We start from the raw sequence: 23,337 nt of genomic DNA, 5'->3' as shown, positions 1-23,337 counted from the left end.
GAGACTAGGATTGCAACCCCTGCTTTTTTTTGTTTTCCATTTGCTTGGTAGATCTTCCCCCATTCCTTTATTTTGAGCCTATGTGTGTCTCTGCACCTGAGATAGGTCTCCTGAATACAGCACATTGATGGGTCTTTACTCTTTATCCAATTTGCCAGTCTGTGTCTTTTAATTGGAGCATTTAGCCCATTTACATTTAAGGTTATTATTGTTATGTGTGAATTTGATCCTGTCATTACGATGTTAGCTGGTTATTTTGCTCATTAGTTGATGCAGTTTCTTCCTAGCAATGATAGTCTTTACAATTTGGCATATGTTTTTGCAGTGGCTGGTACTGGTTGTTCCTTTCCATGTTTAGTGCCTCCTTCAGGAGCTCTTGTAGGGCAGCCTGGTGGTGACACAATCTCTCAGCATTTCCTTGTCTATAAAGGATTTTATTTCTCCTTCACTTATGAAGCCTAGTTTGGCTGGATATGAAATTCTGGGTTGAAAATTCTTTTCTTTAAGAATGTTGAATATTGGCCCCCATTCTCTTCTGGCTTGTAGAATTTCTGCCAAGAGATCACCTGTTAGTCAGATGGGCATCCCTTTGTGGGTAACCTGACCTTTCTCTCTGGCTGCCCTTAATTCTTCTCAGCACCACATTGCATTTATTCCAAAACTGACCACAGAGTTGGAAGTAAAGCAGTCCTCAGCAAATGTAAAAGAACAGAAATTATAACAAACTGTCTCTCAGACCATAGTGCAATCAAACTAGAACTCAGCATTAAGAAACTCACTCAAAACTGCACAACTACATGGAAACTGAACAACCTGTTCCTGAATGACTACTGGGTACATAACAAAATGAAGGCAGAAATAAAGATGTTCTTTGAAACCAATGACAGCAAAGACACAACATACCAGAATCTCTGGGACACATTTAAAGCAGTGTGTAGAGGGAAATTTATAAAACTAAATGCCCATAAGAGAAAGCAGGAAAGATCTAAAATTGACACCCTAACATCACAATTAAAAGAACTAGAGAAGCAAGAGCAAACACATTCAAAAGCTAGCAGAAGGCAAGAAAAAACTAAGATCAGAGCAGAAGTGAAGGAGATAGAGACACAAAAAACCCTTCAAAAATTCAATGAATCCAGGAGGTGGTTTTTGAAAACATCAACAAAATTCATAGACTGCTAGCAAGACTAATAAAGAAGAAAAGAGAGAAGCATCAAATAGACGCAATAAAAAATGATAAAGGGGATATCACCACGGATCTCACAGAAATACAAACTACCATCAGAGAATACTATAAACACCTCTATGCAAATAAACTAGAAAATCTAGAAGAAATGGATAAATTCCTGGTCACTTACACCCTCCCAAGACTGAACCAGGAAGAAGTGGAATCCCTGAATAGACCAATAACAGGCTCTGAAATTGAGGCAATAATTAAGAGCCTACCAACCAAAAAAAGTCCAGGAGCAGACGGATTCACAGCTCAGTTCTACCAGAGGTACAAGGAGGAGCTGGTACCATTCCTTCTGAAACTATTCCAATCAATAGAAAAAGAGGGAATCCTCCCTAACTCATTTTATGAGGCCAGCATCATCCTGATACCAAAGCCTGGTAGAGACACAACAAAGAAGAGAATTTTAGACCAATATCCCTGATGAACATCGATGCAAAAAACCTCAATAAAATACTGGCAAACCAAATTCAGCAGCACATCAAAAAGCTTATCCACCATGACCAAGTGGGCTTCATCCCTGGGAAGCAAGGTTCAACATATGCAAATCAATAAACGTAATCCAGCATATAAACAGAACCAAAGACAAAAACCACATGATTATCTCAAAAGATGCAGAAAGGCCTTTGACAAAATTCAACAGCCCTTCATGCTAAAAACTCTCAATAAATTAGGTATTGATGGGACATATCTCAAAATAATAAGAGCTATTTATGAGAAACCCACAGCCAATATCATACTGAATGGGCAAAAACTGGAAGCATTCTATTTGAAAACTGGCACAGACAGGGATGCCCTCTCTCACCACTCCTATTCAACATACTGTTGGAAGTTCTGGCCAGGGCAATCAGGCAGGAGAAAGAAATAAAGGGTATTCAATTAGAAAAATAGGAAGTCAAATTGTCCCTGTGTGCAGATGTGATGATTGTATATCTAGAAAACCCCATTGCCTCAGCCCAAAATCTCCTTAAGCTGATAAGCAACTTCAGCAAAGTCTCAGGATACAAAATCAATGTGCAAAAATTACAAGCATTCCTATACACCAATAACAGACAAACAGAGAACCAAATCATGAGTGAACTCCCATTCACAATTGCTTCAAAGAGAATAAAATACCTAGGAATCCAACTTACAAGGGATGTGAAGGAACTCTTCAAGGAGAACTACAAACCACTGCTCAATGAAATAAAAGAAGACACAAACAAATGGAAGAACATTCCATGCTCATGGATAGGAAGAATCAATATCATGAAAATGGCCATACTGCCCAAGGTAATTTATAGATTCAATGCCATCCCCATCAAGCTACCAATGACTTTCTTCACAGAATTGGAAAAAACTACTTTAAAGTTCATATGGAACCAAAAAAGAGCCCCCATTGCCAAGTCAATCCTAAGCCAAAAGAGCAAAGCTGGAGGCATCATGCTACCTGACTTCAAACTACACTACAAGGCTATGGTAACCAAAACAGCATGGTACTGATACCAAAACAGAGATATAGATCAATGGAACAGAACAGAGCCCTCAGAAATAATACCACACATCTACAACCACCTGATCTTTGACAAACTTGACAAAAAGAAGAAACGGGGAAAGGATTCCCTATTTAATAAATGGTGCTGGGAAAACTGGCTAGCCATATGTAGAAAGCTGAAACTGGATCCCTTCCTTACTCCTTATACAAAAATTAATTCAAGATGGATTGAAGACTTAAATATTAGACCTAAAACCATAAAAACCCTAGAAGAAAACCTAGGCATTACCATTCAGGACATAGGCATGGGCAAGGACTTCATGTCTAAAACACCAAAAGCAATGGCAACAAAAGCCAAAATTGACAAATGTGATCTAATTAAACTAAGGAGCTTCTGCATAGCAAAAGAAACTACCATCAGAGTGAACAGGCAACCTACAAAATGGGAGAAAATTTTTGCAACCTACTCATCTGAAAAAGGGCTAATATCCAGAATCTACAAAGAACTCAAACAAATTTACAAGAAAAAAAGAAATGACCCCATCAAAAAGTGGGCGAAGGATACGAACAGACACTTCTCAAAAAAAGACATTTATGCAGCCAAAAAAAACACATGAAAAATGCTCATCATCACTGGCCGTCAGAGAAATGCAAATCAAAACCACAATGAGATATCATCTACACCAGTTAGAATGGCGATCATTAAAAAGTCAGGAAACGACAGGTGCTGGAGAGGATATGCAGAAATAGGAACACTTTTACACTGTTGGTGGGATTGTAAACTAGTTCAACCATTGTGGAAGACAGTGTGGTGATTCCTCAGGGATCCAGAACTAGAAATACCATTTGACCCACCCATCCCATTACTGGGTATATACGTAAAGGAATATAAATCATGCTGCTATAAAGACCCATGCATACGTATGTTTATTGCGGCAGTACTCACAATAGCAAAGACTTGGAACCAACCCAAATATCCAACAATGATTGACTGGATTAAGAAAATGTGGCACATATACACCATGGAATACTATGCAGCCATATAAAAGGATGACTTTATGTCCTTTGCAGGGACATAGATGAAGCTGCAAACCATCATTCTCAGCAAACTATCTCAAGGACAAAAAAACCAAACACCGCATGTTCTCACTCATAGGTGGGAATTGAACAATGAGAGCACTTGGACACAGGAAGGGAAACATTACACACTGGGGCCTGTCGTGGGGTGGGGGGAGGGCAGAGGAATAGCATTTGGAGATATACCTAATGTAAATAACGAATTAATGTGTGCAGCACACCAACATGGCACATGTATACATATGTTAGAAACCTGTACGTTGTGCACATGTACCCTAGAACTTAAAGTATAATAAAAAAAAGAACTAAGAAAACAAAATAAACTATATAAGTAAATGTAAAAAAAAAGAAATTACATTTCTAAATTTTCCTTTTTTTATTTGTAATTTGGGCATTCATTTGTTACAGCTCAAAAAAAGAGCATTAAGTGAGTTTTTACATACTTCCCTATATCACAAAGCTAATAATTGGCAGAGTCAGGATTTAAACTCAGGCCCTGAACACTGAGCTGTTCTTTGAGATACTCTGAACTACATGATCCCTTTAGCACTAAATTCCAAGATTACATTATTAATAACTCCAACAAATGTGTATTGTTGATGTTCACTATATTATACTGGGGGTGGGAATACCAATATGAATCTGATGTTTGGTCCAGCCTTGGGGAAGTATAGGAAGAGAAAACAACATGTAGAATGGGAGCAACAGGGCACTGTAATGTTCCAGCTGAAAGAAGGGAGCTCCTACTTGGCTTTGAGGAAGGCATGATTAATGAGGGGGCATCTTCCTAAAAAAGATGACTCTTGGGATAGTGTAATTTGAGAGTAAAGATCAGGTTGAGAGGAATAGGAAGATAATGATAGTATTGTTTTGGAAATGTTGCTGTAGATAAGCACAATTGAAAATATGAAACTGTGCTGTAATCCCAGCACGTTGGGAGGCAGAGGCAGGCAGATATACTCAGGTCAGGAGTTTGAGACCAGCCTGGACAACGTGGCAAAACCTCGTCTCTACTAAAAATACTGAAAAAAAAATATTCTGAAAGTATGAAACTGAGGAACAGTGACTTAAACTATACTGAGATAAAGATTAAATGGTCAATATTCCTTAGATTGTGGTTGAACTCAAGAGAAATTATTCTCTCAGCTTCTGTGGGCAGGTAAGAAGAGGAAAGGGCCTAAAGCCGTAATCCTAAGAAAACCCATGTTTAAGGAATTGGCATTAGAAAACAAACCCACAAAGAGACTAAAACAGAGAGAAGGGGTAACCTAAGAGCGAGATGCAAGTGCTAAGGGAGAAGAGTTTGTCACAAAGATGGCAGTAAATGGTTGGATGCCACAAAGAAATCAAATAAGTTGAGAGATTTTTTAAAAAGACTTATTAGTTTTAGAATTGAAGGATCCAGGGTTTTGCCAGGGGGACTCATCACCCAGATTCAGAAACCATCAAGGCATAGCCAATTTCACTTCACCCTAACCTCCACCCAGTTCTCCCTTTCCGGCATTATTTAGAAGCAAATCCCAGATATCACATCAACAGCAGATATGTTTTTAATATGCATTACCAATCAGACACATACTTTGCCAGAGTATTTGCAGAGGGCCTGTGTGTGAGGCATACTGATGGCCAGGGTTACGGCATGAGTGGGAACCAAAGAACTGAACTCCCTGAGAGCAGACTCTTCTTTGAGGAACAGCAGAGAGCAGGAGAGAGAAAAAGAAACAAGGGGAGGACACAGAGTCAAAGCAATCAGAGGGAGGCATTTGCTTTTCTTTGTTTTAATTTTTAACCTAGAAAATACAAGAACTTGTTTATGGACCACTGGAAGGAGGCTGTAGTAATAGAGAGACAGAGGCGTACATACACACACATATGGAACAGCCGGTAGAGGTGGCGTTTGGGTTGTGGATTCAAAATACAGAAAAGGGAAGGGCTGATAGCGATTGTATAAGAGATGAAAAGGGACCAGCTCAAAAGCTGTGGGACTGACCATGAACAGACAAAAAAAAAAAAAGCTTCCGTTTTTCTGAGACTGGAGAAAAGAAGTGATAGTAAAGGCAAATGTCACTTTATTTGAACAGTGGGAGTCCAGAATAAAGAAGTTCATAATTGCTAGCCTTCGTTTTCACAAAGAGGAAGAATACATTCATGTTTTAACAGAGATGAGGACAGTGAAAGTAAAAGGGCTTGAAAGAGTGGTGAAGTTGTCAAATAGTTACTAAGGGGAAATGGAATAAGAACCTGCACAGAGACAAGCAGAGGGGTCTCTCAGTGTGCCCGAGGGCCCAGGGGAGAGTGGCCACAGTGAACACTAATATAATCAACCCACCACAGGCACCTGGCTCAATTAAAGTTCTACTTGGCCTAGTCTATCTGACATGTTCCTCTATATGACTAATCTGACACCACAGGCTGGCTGGCTCTCAAGAAGGAAATACTTTCCTCAGAGAAATTTCCATTCTCAAAGTATATCTTGCTTGCTCATGTGCTACTCCTGGTTTGCAGAGGTCAAGATTCTGCCCAATATCTCAGCAGCACTGGCATGGGCTGCAGACAATATGACCAAGAGGGGTCCACTAGCCAGACATGCTCTGCAAATGTTTTGCTCAATCTGCACAGGGTTTTAAAATTAAGGAAATTAAACATAAAACTCTGGAGTTTCCCCTTTTGTTATAAAAGTCCAGAGAGCTCTTGGTTTGTGTAAGGGACTGGCTGTAGGAGAATTCAGAAGGTCCACATGCTGTTGTTCACCACAAGTCCCACCACATCCTTCCTCATCATCTTAATTCACTTATACTTGTTTCTGCTAGAAAGGGAATGGTATTTATTAGGAAGGTTACGAGGAAGTGATATTTACTAAGAAGATTACTAATGTCACATTTTCACCTTTACTACAAAATACACATAAGACCATAGAAGTCATCTTTAAAAGAAGAATTTTAAGCAGCTTATTGATAAGAAGATAAAGGCAATTCTGGAGCTAAAAGGTCTTTCCTCTATTATCTAATAATAGCTCCTCCTCTATTATCTAATAAAACAATGTATCCCTACTCAACAAGTGAGTGCCAGGACATTGTAAAAGTTGTGAATTGTGTTTGCTGTATGAAATCTCACCTAGACTATCACAATAGCCTCTCATCTGAGATTCCTGAGCTCTTCTCTTACAATTTTCTTCTCCACCAGCAATACTGTTCACAAATGTTGTTTGACAAATGAGGAGAACACAGAACAAAGAGGTCAAATAACTTACCCTATTATACAGCTTCTGGGTATGGTACCGGGAAATAGGCCTTCCTGTTTCTTCCCATACTCTTCATGGTCTGTCTTGTTTTCTAGAATGCTGTTTAATCCCTGAAAATGGAAAACATAATTTTTTCCTAAACTTTTTTTTCCAAAAATTAAATACTGCTTGTATTTCCTTGTATAAGATTTTAACTGCTATGGTTGTATCTCCTGTACCCCAACTTATACACATACCATCTCATTTGGTAGTGAACACATAGTAATGGCTCCCATAAAATGAGGCACATTATACACAAATAGGGTAGGCGGTCTTGAAAAAGATATTTCTACGTCAGGCATAGGATAGACAAATGTAGCACATATTAAAATGTTTTGAAACAAACTACTTTTTCATTAATATATCTTATGTCATTTGGATACTGTTATAATAGGGTTACATAGCAAATCTGTATCTTATTTGCAAAAAGTATTTTGGGGGCCTGTATAAATCCAGCCAAACCTGTGTTCTAAAATCCTCTTCTTCCTTTCATATTCTGGACTCTAATACATTTTACACTGGCCCTTAAAACTGTGTAATTCTAATTTTAAAGTATCATGGAATTGGCAAGATGAAAGTCTTTTATTAGAGAACTATTCATTGTAATAGCTACACTCTGCCTTTCAGATTACTAGGGAATTAACCACATAATATTCCACCATATATAAATTTTGAATGGCATGTGTGCAAGTATAAGAGTAAGTATTTAGAATAAATATTTGGATTATTATTTAGATTGTGTGATAAAAATGTAGTACAATTCCCTGAAAGTTTTGCTGATAACTATATTAGTCAAATTCAGGGGTTTTATAATCTGGAAAGCAGCACATTCAGTCTTTTTCCTGGCTGATCATGACAATGGAGGACAGAGATGTGTTAAGCACTCGATTGCATTTACTATGTGACAAGCAATGTTCAAAAGGCTTTACCAATAATCAATAATTGAATCCTTTCAACAAATCTATGAGGTGCATACTGTTATTATTCTCATTTTACAGATGAAGAAACAGAGCTATAGAAAGATTAAGTAACTTGACAAGATCATACATCGAACAATTACTTCTTTCAACTCATAATTTTGTAGTTGACGGTTTAAATGTATTCATGTGACACTAGGAGGAAAAAAAAACTGAATGAATAAATAAGACAAAGACAAGAAAAGTAAAGCTGTAAATGAGAAAGACACAAATCCAGACAAGAACAAAATACACAGCAGTGAAAAGTAGCAATACTGTGCTAAAAAAAAATCTAAAACCAGAAGAGAATTACAGTTCTCATTCAGTCTCTCAGTTTTTAAATTGGATGTTGAGGACTACAAAAGTACGGTATTGTCTTCACACTTCCACAAATGATTAACATCAGGGTCTAGACTAGGAGTCTGACAGACACTCTCATTGAGCACCATCTCTGAGCCAGGCCTACACTGAGCACATAGGGTAAAATCTAAACTAGTCAGAGTCCTCACCCACCAGGAGGTCACCGTTAAGAGAACAAGACCAACAGATGCATAAATAATAACTCTAGTGTGAGGTAAGTGCTAGTAGACCTCTGGACAAATAGAAAGGATTAATGAAGAGTTCTTGGGAACCGCAGGAAACATTCTACAGGATAATTGACTATTAAACAGATATATAAAGGAAAAGAAAAATTTTGCCAGGCAGAGAAAAGGGAAAGTCATTACAGTTGAAGGCCAAAGCTCACAAAACAGACTAGAGTTCTGAAGCACCATAGCATGTTCCATGCACACTGTGTGCATTAGATGTATTCATTCAAATATTTTTTATTCAACCAGCATTTGTTGAGAACCTACTATATAGCATGGAGAATAGTGTTTCATACACCCATGATAAAAATGGTGCTGGTCAGAGAGTTCTCAAGTCTAATTAGGAAAGCCAAGTCTCCAGAGAGTTCACAGTTTAATTAGGAAAGCCAAGTGAGTAAACAAATTAGACTAAGTGCTAAGAGAGATGTCTTGGTCTACTTTGGGGCTTAAAGTTTAAAGAGGTAATTTCTACTGGACAGGAAAGGTTGGCAAGGAAAGGCTTCAAGGTCAACACTTAGTTTGTGTCTCAAGAAATGGGTAGCTATTTGGCAGGAATGTAGAGAAATGAGAAGAGGTGTGAAAATTTGATATAAATATCTTGCTAATGAGACAAAAGCTATCTAACTTGATAAGAAGGCAATGTTGGTCATTACCTCATAACTGGCTCCTCCTGGCATCTGGATTCACGTCAATTAGCTAGACTTTTAAGAGAAATAAATAATTCTAAATCTATAAACCTCAAATATAGCCCATCATCTTGAATGGTGCTGACACCAGACCACATGAGGTGGCAAATTCTTTTTAAAAACACTTTCCAGATGAATCAATCACAAAATAAAATGACCCTAGCTACAGAAAACAAATAGAAATCCTTGTCTATTTTATTCTTTTACTTTACACTGTTGGGAAAGCTCAAACCAGCAGTACAGTTTCCTAAACCACACAGGCCTCACCACACACCAGTCAGCATTGTGCTGGTGTCCAAGCCCTTGGAGCAGGGGCTTTGCCTTCATCTCTTTGGGTGGCAACTGAGAAATGGTCCACGGAAAATAATAGAAACACATGTGGAAAGAAGCACAACTGTGACCCTTAATTTTGCAGGCTGAAAACACCAGATCATCCCCAAACCCTTCCTGTTTCACAAGAAAGACGTAGGTGGTAAGAGGGATGACAAGAGGGTTGCAGTTTACATGGATGAATACCTCGCCTCAAACGCAAGCAAGTTGATGACTAAATCTGTAGTCAGGGATCACCTAGCTTCTGATGGGGATTAATTAAGTGCAGCAAGGACACTTTTCAGCAATGTGCTTGCCACCCGTCAATAGCGTCTAACCAATCTTAGGCATCTCTAAGTTTGCCTTAAAATCCCAAATTATTTGTCAAATACCATGCATGTCTAAGAACATGCTGAGTCAGGCTGTACACCAGTAAATGCCTTGGGATTGTAAGCATTTTTGAACAAAACATCACAGAAGAAGAAAGAGACTACCAAGAATACATAAACTATAAAAAATGAAAATGAACAGAAGGAATAAACATTTTGAAGTTCACATCATCAAGCTAATCAACTAGTGACTAAAACCAGTAATTCATCTGCAGCCTCTTTAAGAAGGCCACAAATTGTCCCTGCTGAAGCAGCATAACTGACGTAGTTTGCTGGTTGGAACTGTGAAGACTGGACATCAGTTCTTCAAGAAAAATTTTGGAAGAAGCAAGTCCAGTAAATAACAAGCTAGACTCATTATCCTTTCTAGCAGATTTATATTCTAGAAAGAATACAATGAGATCGACATGGTCTAATATAAATAATAAAACTCAGGTCCCTCACTTACCTTATGAGCTTTTCATAAGTGGTCTGTATTTTCTGTTCTAGGGACTTTAACATAACTAAAGGGACTGTTTGCTTTTCAGGTTATGTTAGATATAGTTACACATAGTGAGTGAGTGAGTGACAGTTTCTGTGAGGCACGTGAGGTCAGAGGTAAATAATCTCATCATTTTTCTCCTAAAATTTGCTACAATATCCTATGGACCTTAATTAAAATTTGTTTACACCAAATAGATTAAGTTTTTGAGAACTTTTGTCCCAGATAATTTTTTTAATTGTACTTTAAGTTCTGGGGTACATGTGCAGAGCATGCAGTTTGGTTACATAGGTATACACATGCCATGGTGGTTTGCTGTACCCATCAACCTGTCATTTACATTAGGTATTTCTCCTAATGCTACCCCTCCCCTAGGCCCCCATCCCCCGACAGGTCCCAGTGTGATGTTCCCCTCCCTGTGTCCATGTGTTCTCATTGTTCAACTCCCACTTATGAGCGAGAGCATGCAGTGTTTGGTTTTCTGTTCTTGTGTTAGTTTGCTGAGAATGATGGTTTCCAGCTTCATCCATGGCCCTGCAAAGGATATGAACTCATCCTTTTTTATGGCTGCATAGTATTCCATGGTGTACATGGTGCCACATTTTCTTTATCCAGTCTATCACTGATGGGCATTTGGGTTGGTTCCAAGTCTTTGTATTGTGAACAGTGCTGCAATAAACATATGTGTGCATTTGTGTTTATAGTAGAATGATTTATAATCCTTTGGGTATATATCCAGTAATGGGATTGCTGGGTCAAATTGTATTTCTGGTTCTAGATCTTTGAGGAATTGCCACACTATCTTCCACAATGGTTGAACTAATTTACACTCCCACAAACAGTGTGAAAGCATTCCTATTTATCCACATCCTCTCCAGCATCTGTTGTTTCCTGACTTTTTAATGATCGCCATTCTAACTGGTGTGAGATGGTGTCTCATTGTGGTTTCGATTTGCATTTCTCTAGTGACCAGTGATGATGAGCTTTTTTTCATATGTTTGTTGGCCATATAAATGTCTTCTTTTGAGAAGTGTCTGTTCATATCTTTCACCCACTTTGTGATGGGGTTGTTTTTTTCTTGTAAATTTGTTTAAGTTCTGTGTAGATTCTGGATATTAGCCCTTTGTCAGATGAGTAGATTGCAAAAATTTTCTCCCATTCTGTAGGTTGCCTGTTCAAGCTGATGGTAGCTTCGTTTGCTGTGCAGAAGCTCTTTAGTTTAATTAGATCCCATCTGTCAGTTTTGGGTTTTGTTGCCATTGCTTTTGGTGTTTTAGTCATGAAGTCTTTGCCCATGCCTATGTCCTGAATGGTATTGCCAAGGTTTTCTTCTAGGGTTTTTATGGTTTTAGGTCTTACATTTAAGTCTTTAATCCATCTTGAGTTAAGTTTTGTATAAGGTGTAAGGAAGGGATCCAGTTTAAGTTTTCTGCATATGGCTAGCCAGTTTTCCCAACACCAGTTATTAAATAGGGAATCCTTTCCCTGAAAATTGCTTGTTTTTGTCAGGCTTGTCAAAGATCAGATGGTTGTAGATGTGTGGTGTTATTTCTGAGGCCTCTGTTCTGTTCCACTGGCCTATATCTCTGTTTTGGTACCAGTACCATGCTGTTTTGGTTATCGTAGCCTTGTAGTAGAGTTTGAAGTCAGGTAGCATGATGCCTCCAGCTTTGTTCATTTGGCTTAGGATTGTCTTAGCAATGCGGGCTCTTTTTTGGTTCCACGTGAACTTTAAAGTAGTTTCTTCCAATTCTGTGAAGAAAGTCATTGGTAGCTTGATGGGGATGGCACTGAATCTATAAATTACCTTGGGCAGTATGGCCATTTTCACAATATTGATTCTTCCTATCCATGAGCATGGAATGTTCTTCCATTTGTTTGTGTCCTCTCTTATTTCCTTGAGCAGTGGCTTGTGGTTCTTCTTGAAGAGGTCCTTTACATCCCTTGTAAGTGGTATTCCTAGTTATTTTATTCTCTTTGTAGCACTTGTGAATGGGAGTTCACTCATGGTTTGACTCTGTCTATTATGGTGTATAGGAATGCTTGTGATTTTTGCACATTGTTTTGTGCCCTGAGACTTTGCTGAATTTGCTTATCAGCTTAAGGAAATTTGGGGCTGAAATGATGGGGTTTTCTAAATATACAATCATGTCATCTGCAAACAGAGACAGTTTTACGTTCTCTCTTCCTACTTGAATACCCTTTATTTCTTTCTCTTGCCTGATTTCCCTGGCCAGAACTTCCAATACTTTGTTGAATAGGAGTGGTGCGAGAGGGCATCCTTGTCTTGTGCCGGTTTTCCAAGGGAACACTTCTAGTTTTTGCCCATTCAGTATGATATTGGCTGTGGGTCTGTCATAAATAGCTCTTATTATTTTGAGATACGTTCCATCAATACCTAATTTATTGAGAGTTTTTAGCATGAAGGGGTGTTGAATTTTTTCAAAGGCCTTTTCTTCATCTATTGAGATAATAATGTGGGTTTTGTCATTGTTTCTGTTTATGTGATGGATTACATTTATTGATTTGCATATATTGAACCAGCTTTGCATCCCAGTGATGAAGCCGACTTGATCATACTGGAGCCCCAGATAATTTTTTTTACAGCAGTGAATTTAAAGTAACTAAATATTTTTCCAAAACACTGTAGCAGAAATCTATTTGTAATATGATTTCTAAAAGACGGAGAGTGAGGGCAGGCAGAGGGGATGGATTTCAAGAGGAAGAAAAGTGCTATATTTAGTTAAATTAAAATGGAATGGTTTGCATCTATACATAGTGAATTAGCTGTCATTGCATAACAGATGATTGACATCTATTTGCACAGTGATTAAAGAGTATTTTCAGTCCCCAGAGTCAAAATCCACATGGAGTGTTATATGTTCTCATCTGAATAATTACTCAGTGGTCAAGAAAAGACAGGGACTATATTCACAAATGGACACCATATTGAATCAGAATCAAGAATTTCATTAGACTCTCATCTGTCTTTTCAGCAGAAAACATTTCTATCCTTCATTCATTCTTTTCATCATTCTTTCACAAATTTTGAGTGAGCAGCAAAAAAAATAAGGAAAAGGAAAAAACCTTATATTCTGGTTAACAGAGATAGATAATAAATTACATAGTATGTTCTGTGTCATGTATGTTAGATTAGTTAATAAGAAGAATAATAAAGCAGGGACTAAGGCTCAGAAATGTGAGGGGAAACATTTAGGCAGAAGAGCAAGGAATAGCTTGTTAAGAAAGTGGCATTTTATTCGACATCTGAAATAGGTAAGGGAGTGAGCTAGGTACATGGCTAAGAAAATAGAGTCCTAGGAAAGATTACTGCAAAGGCCCTGAGGGTGAAGTACGTGGTGTGTTCAGTGACACCAAGGAGGGCAGTGTAGCTGGACTAAGTGAGAAACAGTTATGGGCATAGAAAGGACATCAGAGAGCTCCCTGGGAACCAAATTAAGGAGCGCCTTTATATAAACAGGACTTCTATTTTCACTGTGATTGTGATGAGGAATCATTGAAAGATTTTTAAGCAAAATAGTAAGATAATATCACATTCTTTATAGCAGACTATTTCAAGAAGACTTTTAGCTATGCCATGAATAGTTACAATATTCTATTCCAAAAATATTTCAACTTTATGGTGGGGCATGGTGGCTCATGCCTGTAATCCCAGCAATTTGGGAGCCCAAGGTGGGCAAATCACTTGAGGTCAGGAGTTTGAGACCAGCATGACCAACAAGGCAAAACCCAGTCTCTACTAAAAATACAAAAATTAGCCAGGTGTGGTGGCAGCCACTTGTAATCCCAGCTACTTGTGAGGCTAAGGCAGGAGAATTGCTTGAACCCAGAAGGCAGAGATTTCAGTGAGCCCAGATCGCACCAACTGCACTCCAGCCTGGGTGACAGAGTGAGACTGCACCTCAAAAACAAACAAACAAACAAACAAAAATTTCAACTTTATAAATCTTTGGAGTTGATCTAACAATAACTCCAAATTCCTTACTTTACAGTGAAGAAATTAAAGCCCAGTGATGGTGAGTGACTTTTCCCATTCCAGTAGTTGGTAGTTAAGACCAAACTTTTTAATGGAATAAACTAGAGGAAGAAGTGGTAAGTTTTGTTGCTCAAAACCAGGAAATGCACTGATTTATTTTGGAGGAGCTCATTTATAGAGGACTAACTCACAAGATTGAATTACAATTTAAGTTTTGGCTAGATCTGTTAATTTTATATGGTCATAACCTACATCTTCTTTCTTTACCAGTAATCCCAGTGAGAATGATGTCATTTAGCCTTTTCCATACTCCAGATACTCTTATCACTTTTTGCAAAACTGGGAACTGAGGAGTATCTTTTCCATGGAGTAGAAAAGACTAACTTATCGACTAGATAAAGTACAGATGACTCTAGGTTTGAAAGAAAGCACCTTGGTTAAACAGAAAAAGCTTCAGCTGAACAAAGAACCCTTCATAGCTGTTTCAGTTAGTGACCTTTTTGATCAAGGCTTTGACCATATAGACCATGACCACATTTAAGTTATTCATATGGCCGTGTTCCTGAATAAAACCTTTTGGTTCTTCAAAAGTTAAATCACCTAAAGCAGATATAATTTATTTATAGAAGTATACTCTTCTTTACTAACCTAAAGTATGAGGTGTTTTGGGGGCACAATTTGGCTGACTTCTACTACAAGGAGCTACACCTTCATGAAAGACAACATCCTTCTCTTCATAGAGTGATTGTCCTCCTGTAGCCTGAGTTCTAGACTCATAGGTCAAAACTCAATTTGGGCAAATTCACATGGGGTGGAAATCTTGGTATCTTTCATCATACCAAAACAATGTACAGTTTTAAAACTTAAAGCACTAAAGAAGCTAGCATCACTGAAAATATCCTCAGGAAAAAATCTGAAAGCCTGGACAAATTCTGAGTTAAACAAACACTATCAAAATCCCAGGGATATATTAGTCTTTTGAACATTGCTACAAAGCCACATCATGGCACGTGGTAAAGGGCCCAAATGAATCAGAAGATAATTAAGCATCCACACAGTCACTGGTCTTCCAGTTTAAAAGGAAGAGAGAGGAAAGTGGCTAGTATTCTCACACAGGTCTTATCAATAAGACTAAGTTATCAAAGTAGAGCCCATCAAAAGTAGGATTGGTGTAGCTCACTTGGTGGAAAAGATAATTAAGGGTGGCAGGATGGGTTAAATAAAGAAGATACTGGAGATAAGAAAATGCTCAGGAGGCTGTTGTCATCCAGATATGATGCCAGGAGGAGGGCAGGAGGGGGTTGTTTCCAAAGTTATCATAACTCTTATGGAAAGATTGGCCTCTGTAGATATTTCAAGTAAAAATCTGATAAAACATGGTGATTAGCTAGATCAGTAGAGGGATAAAGATTACCAATTTATTTCAAACCTGGAATGTTAGAACTATGACAGACGTAGACAATTAAGAATAAAATTTGGATTGAGGAGACGAGAATGAAAGAGCTACCATTCATTGACTACTTCCAATGTACTAAGCCATGTGCATTCATTAGCTTATTTAATGTTCTCAACAACCCTGTTGATTCATTACTTTATCCATATATTTATTCATTGACAAACATTTACCAAGTGCCTATTATAGATTGGGTGTTGTTCTATGTAAACATCATTATCTCCAATTTTATACATGAGGAAACTGAAGCTCAGACAGGAACAGTAATATGTCTAAGGTACCTAGCCAGTAAATGGCAGAACTGGAACACAAACCCAGGTTTAATGGGTTCCAATGTCACCATAATTACTGTATTAAATTGCTCTGAATTTTAGCTTTGGATTTAATTCAAAAGATGCAACTGACCCCCAAGAAAGTCCAGTTGTGGGACAAAAAAAAAAAAAGGATTGGAGGGCCATGAGGCTACTGGCATTGGCTGAATAAGAAAGGCACCAGGACATTGGGAATCAAGTGTGTATGTGAGGCATAAAGGGAGAAGCAGCTTTATTACATGAACATCTCAGTGAGGACATTGGCTTTGGCTAATAGTATGGAGGGTCGAGGGCTATAAAACCAAGTATAGCCGCTGCTGAATTTTCTGGTCTCTAGGAGAAGAAAGGATGTTGTAGGGATGAGATGGACCCATATCTCCTCTGAAATTCAGATATCCAGAAACTGACATACCCTATGATGTTAAAGATATCAATGGTACATTAAGTTATTTAATTAACACAGACTGGATAAGCCTGTTTTTTTTTTTAATTTTTAGTACTGTTCTGGTTTGAATTGTGTCCCCCAGAAACAATATGTTGATGTCCTAACCCCGAATACCTCAGAATGTGATCTCATTTGAAAATAGAATTATTGCGGATATAATTAGTTAAGATGAGATCACATTAAAGTAGGGTAGGCCCTTAATCCAATGCAACTGGTTTTCTTATAAGAAGAAGAGAGACACACCTGGGAATACCATGTGATAACAGAGACAGAGACTGGAGGGATGCATCTACAAGCCAAGGAATATCAATCATTGCTGGTAACATCAGAAGCAAAGAGAAGGGCATGGAACAGATTCTTCCACAGAGCATGCAGAAGGAACTAACTCTACCGACACCTTCATTTAGACATCTAGCCTGCAGAATGAGAAATGAATTTCTGTTGTTTTAAGCCACCCAGTTGGTGATACTTTGTTGTGGCAGCACTAAGAAACAAATATAAGTATTTATCAAATTAAAAAAAATCACTCTCATGATGTCCCAGGAATGTTCTAAGTGCTATACCAAATAAACTAATTTGATCACCGTAACAATCCAATATGCTAAGTACTATTATCTACATATTACTGATGAGAAAATTGAAGCATAGTGAGGTTGCATAACTTGTCGAATAAAGATGTGAGATTGATACACACATGTCTGGCCCCAGAGTCTACGTACCTAAACACCATGCTCTGCTCTGTGTCAAGAATTCCTATTGCCCTTACTTTTCAGTATACCATCCCAGGCCCCTCAATTTCATTCCCAAAGCACTGACAATCTTTTTTTTTTTGGATGAGTCTCGCTCTGTCGCCCAGGCTGGAGTGCAGTGGCGTGATCTCGGCTCACTGCCAGCTCCGCCTCCCGGGTTCACGCCATTCTCCTGGCTCAACCTCCTGAGTAACTGGGACTACAGGGGCCCACCACCACGCCCGGCTAATTTTTTTGTATTTTTTGTAGAGACGGGGTTTCACCGTGTTAGCCAGGATGGTCTCGATCTCCTGACCTCCTGATCTGCCCGCCTTGGCCTCCCAAAGTGCTGGGATTACAGGCGTGAGCCACCGCACCCAGCCCCAGGACTGACAATCTTAAATTACATAATCTCAAATGATGACAAGAAAATTAATTTGTCCACTGGTTCAGCATTTAAACAAATATTTCTCATAGTCAGTCTCACATTTAATCCTTGAAACATTCCAGGGTTGGCCTATCTTTTGTTTTGTGGAGTTTGTTGATAAGGTAGAACACAGTGATTTGAAAAACAATTATATGGTGTTGGTAAATGCATGTTGAACCATGGATGTTGAATAAACTGAAAATTCCAAGGGATTTTCATGTAATGTATACACCAATTTTGCAGGATTCATAGAAGTTTCATTACTCTTTTGACTTTGGTTAACTGCTCACATATTGTTATAAAATAAGATAGAATAAAGCAAAATATTTGCTTAACTATATTAAAGACTGATGAGGGACTTCACAAGTTTGCTCAGGATGAGGTGCACATATTGGAGGAGAGCTGGACGACATCCTCTCTGGATGTTGCCAATTCTCTTTTGGAGTCATCTTTTTGCTTCATTATTAAGAAAGACAGGATACTCCCTTCCCTAAGGGGACAAAACAGACCCACTCCACAAGAGGCCAGGACCAATGTGCCTTAACGAGGAAGCTGAACTAAGTTTGCTTCAGGGCAAAGCACTCCCACAAGTCCCATAAACTTTCCAGGAATCCACCAGATTAGCCAAAAGAAACAATGCTGTGAAGTTGAGGGAAAGGAAAGAAAGAAAAAGAAAAAGAAAAAGAATCCACATGCAACTAAACTCTCTATGTAATCCCCAGCTGCCTCAAATTGGCAGTTCTATGAAGCAAGAGTTCAGAGCAAAAGCTATCAAAAACTTTTTTTCTGATGTGGGAACCTTGCATATGAAAGTCCAAACCAAGTCATAGAACAATATGGAAAACACATGTAGGTATTGTTGATTGACTATGAGAACACAGTTAACCTCCTGTCAGCTTTGTCAGCTGCCTAGGGAATAGCTGTTCGACTTTCAGTTCCCATCCCCATGAAGCCCACAGACAAGGAAGTAAATCGGAAGTCTGCTTTCTAGGGTAGTTTTCAATGTAGTAGATAAAACTATCTCCCATTTCCTGAATACTAGAGAAAACCATTTAAAAATGCCCAGACAGAAAGTAAAACACACACACATAACATAGTGGCCTGAAATGCAGTATGTTTTAATTGATAAAGGTCACTCTGTTAAATAATGATTTATTTATATTAAAATTGGAGATCAAGTAGTTGAGCTAAGGAACAAAATGGAGCATATGCTCCACAGGAAGAGCAATGTGGTTTCATTGTTTTCTTTGAAAAATGTGGGTTCTCAGAACAGCAAATAGACATACTGAAATCTACATTTAAACTGCTCCTCGGTTTTAAGTGGTTTTAGAAATATTAATGTGGAAAGATAAATGCAAGTGTATCAACATATAGCACATAAACAACTACCTAATTATGTTAATTAATCTTGCATGTTTGGTAAGAAAAAAATTAAGCAGTAGAGGCTATTCTATCCTCCATTTATTCAATAATTCAGTGAATGGGTGCTCTGCACTACGTGTGATACCATTTTGTTTCTTGTAGTGCAGACTTTGCCACAATAGGCTGAAACAGATCCCAGGACACAAAGCAACCACCGCATCTGGTGCTCAAATGGAGAAAAAGCCATCTGTTCCAATGGCGAAGTTAAATCTGACTATGTTAAACTTCATAAATAAGAGAGAGAGTGTGTGTGTCTCGGGCCATTCTTGCATTGCTATAAAGAAATACCTGAAACTGGGTAATTGATAAAGAAACATGTTTTACTGCTCACAGTTATGCAGGCCGAATGGGAAGCATCTGCTCAGCTTCTGGTGAAGCCTCAGGGAACTTGCAATCATGGCAGAAGGCCAAGAGAAAACAGTTACATCACAAGGTGAAAGCAGGAGCTAGTGAGAGAGGGAGAGAGAGAGAGAGACAGAGGGAGAGAGAGAGGTGGTGGGAGGGGGGAAAAGGTGTCATACACTTTTAAATGACCAGATCTCATGAGAACTCACTATCACAAAGACAGCACCAAACCATGAGGAATTTACTTCCATGATCCAAACACCTCTGGTATTAGTCTGTTCTCACACTGCTATAAAGAACTACCTGAGACTGGGTAATTTATGAACAAAATAGGTTTAATTGATGCATAGTTCTGCAGGTTGTACAGGAAGCATGACTGGGAGGCCTCAAGAAACACAATCTTGGCAGAAGGTGAAAGGGAAGTGAACACGTCTTCACATGTCAAAGCAGGAGAGAGAGAACAAGTGAAGGAGGAAGTGCCACACACTTTTAAACCATCAGATCTCATGAGAACTCACTCACTATCTTAAGAATAGCAAGGAGGAAGTATGCCCCATGATCCAATCACCTCCTGCCAGGCCCCTCCAACAATTTGACATGAGATTTGGGCGGCAGACACAAATCCAAACCATATTATTCTGCCCCTGGTCCCTCCTAAATCTCATGTCCTTCTCACATTGCAAAATACAATTATCCACTCTCAACAGTCCCCCAGTCTTAACTCATTTCAGCATTAACTCAAAAGTTCACAGTCCAAAGTCTCATCTGAGACAAAGTAAGTCCCTTCTGCTTATGAGCCTGTGAAACCAAAAACAAGTCTGTTACTTCCAAGATACAACGGGGGTACAGGCATTGGGTAAATGCTCCCATTCCAAATGGGAGAAGATGGCCAAAACAAAGGGGCTACAGTCCCCATGCAAGTCTGAAGCCCAGATCAGTCGTTAAATCTTAAAGCTCCAAAATTATTTCCTTTGACTCCATGTCTCATATCCAGGGCATGCTGATGCAAGAGGTGGGCTCTCAAGGCATTGCGCAGCTCTGCCACTGTGGTCCTGTGGGGTACAGCCCCTCTCCAGGCCACCCTCACAAGCTAGCATTGAGTGCCTGCGACTTTCCCATGTGCAAGGTGCAAGCCATCAGTGGAGCTACCATTCTGGGGTTTAGAGGATGGTGGCCCTCTTCTCACAGCTCCACTAGGCAGTGCCCCAGTGGGGACTCCATGTGGGGGCTCCAACTCCACATTTCCTCTCCACGCTGCGCTAGTAGAGGTTTAATAAACAAAGAATTCCAAGGGATCTTCAAGTGCAATTTTGGCAACAAGTAATTATTAACTAACACACTTATTTTATTATCTAATCCAGAATAAATGTATCTAATATATATCTTTTTTAGATCTGGTTATTATTTTAAATGTCATATCATTTATCTGTTATATGCATAAAATTGAATATGAATTGCAAATATATATACAGTTTTACATAAAATATATATTAAGTTTTATATATAGAGAGAGTTATATATATACATATGTAACTTATGCTTTTTACCCACTTTTTTATAGGCATATGGGGATTACAAAGACTGTCACAGTAACAAAGAAGTTAAATACACTTGTATAATGTAACACAATTAATAAACCCATGTCTTCTTATCCCAAGTCCAGGCCTTTTCCCATTAGGAACATGGTTGCTTTCCCTATTTCCAAACATAGAAAAGTAAATATGACTTAAAGGACTTAGGGGCATCACAAATGAAGTCTAAGGTAAAATAGTGATGGTGGATAGTAAAATAAAAGTGAAAAGTTATCTGTAAAACTCTGAGGCAGAATGGGTTAGAAAAGAATGAAATCATTTATGTATTTAATAAAAGCTTTGTGGTTTGGCTCGATACATGAGCAATATTTAATATTGTGTTTATCTATAGCGTTCAGCCCCATAATTTGTATGTACATCTAGCTAGCACTAAATATCACCAAGCATGTTCTAGACAATGTGCTAAGTACTAGCAATACAACAAAGCAGCAAGCATGGATCTTGACTCTTCCCAAGAGGAATTTATGATGTTCCAAAGTGAACCAAAATGAACACAAGGTAATCACCTCAAGAAAAAGGAAAATGTGTTTGCTAAGTCTAAGGATAGGCAAGTAAATGCTAAAGAAAAAGTGTGTGGCACTTCCTCCTTCACCCTCTGTCTGTCTCCTGCTCCAACATGTGAAGACTCACTTCTTTGCCTTCCACCATGATTGTAAGTTCCCTGAGGCCTTCCAGCCATGCTTCCTGTACAGCCTATGGAACTGTGAGTCAATTAACCTTTGCCTATTTCCCAGTTCCAAAGTCACTTCCCCATTTTCAGGTATCTTTATAGCAGTGCCCCATTTTTCTGGTACCAATTTTCTGTATTAGTCCATTCTCACATGGTTATAAAGAACTACCTGAGGCTGGGTAACTTATAAAGTGCCACACACTTTTAAACCATCAGATCCATCTATCACAAGAACAGGAAAGGGGAAATCTGTCCCTATGATCCAATTACCTCCTACCAGGCCCCTCCTCCAATTCAACATGAGATTTGGGTAGGGACACGAATCCAAACCATATTAACCTCCAACCAGGCCCCACCTCCAGCATTCATGACTATATGCAACATGAGATTTGGGTGGGGACAAATATCCAAATTATATATAAATATATAAAATCATGTATTTTATAATAAAGACAAACCAACTGCCAAAATGTATAAATACATTGCCAAGATTTGGCTTTCCTGTATTCAAATTGGAAGAACAGAAAGATAATACAAACAGTGGGCACCTGAGTCAGGATAATACTTTGCTGTTCCTTCACATTGGTATACTTTAAATAATCAAACATTTACTTATAGAAGACGCAGACTACTGTGTGGGAAGAGAATAGAAACGTAGCCCCCTTGTGGCTATTCCCAAATTCTCTAACATCTCAAAAGCTCTATTCCCAACTGCACATTCTACTAAGAAAATAGTAGCTTTACAGTAGGTGCCACCCTGCTTTAATGGCAGATTAGGGACAATATATTTCATGCTCCAAATGACTTATGAAAGTATTATTCAACTATGTTTTTGCTAGAAATGTTATAGTAATATTTTATATATCTTTGCACATATTTCACAATATTTTAGTAATCAATGATGTACTCTTCTTTTTTATTATTATTATTATTATTTTTGAGACGGAGTCTTGCTCTGTCGCCCAGGCTGGAGTGCAGTGGCGCAATCTCGGCTCACTGCAAGCTCCGCCTCCCGGGTTCACACCATTCTCCTGCCTCAGCCTCCTGAGTAGCTGAGACTACAGGTGCCCACCACCACGCCCGGCTAATTTTTTTGTATTATTAGTAGAGATGGGGTTTCACCATGTTAGCCAGGATGGTCTCGATCTCCTGACCTCGTGATCCACCTGCCTCTGCCTCCCAAAGTGCTGGGATTACAGGCTTGAGCCACTGCGCCCGGCCTCAATGATGTACTCTTCTTTATAGTTTAGTATTCACGTAAGTAACCCACCTACCCTACTTCTTAATCCAGCAATATTTCTATAGCTATTCCATTTAAATGAAGAATGGTCTTAAAAGCTCTAAAGAGTATTTTCAAATTTGGCATGAACAATAATATCCCATCAAAGGAGATCTTCCCCTAATACTATTTCATCATGTCAGTAATTTGAAGAAAAGCTAATAGTTTGCCTGTTTTGCTGGTTTCAACCAGCATACA

The 23,337-nt window shown here is 38.7% G+C and overlaps 1 long non-coding RNA gene across 2 annotated transcripts in view; it reads right to left on the bottom strand.

Annotated features, from left to right (window-relative positions):
- Positions 1-23,337, bottom strand: part of LOC105377356 (uncharacterized) — a 288,441-nt gene that overhangs the window by 99,813 nt on the left and 165,291 nt on the right. For both annotated transcript variants that reach the window (XR_939051.1, XR_939053.3), the window contains exon 4: positions 7,033-7,133. This is a non-coding gene — a long non-coding RNA (uncharacterized LOC105377356). The remainder of the gene's footprint in view (positions 1-7,032; positions 7,134-23,337) is intronic.

This window comes from Homo sapiens, chromosome 4, assembly GCF_000001405.40.
Source record: "Homo sapiens chromosome 4, GRCh38.p14 Primary Assembly".
NCBI classification, from domain to species: Eukaryota; Metazoa; Chordata; class Mammalia; order Primates; family Hominidae; genus Homo; species Homo sapiens.
This window is presented reverse-complemented; position numbering and strand designations above follow the sequence as displayed.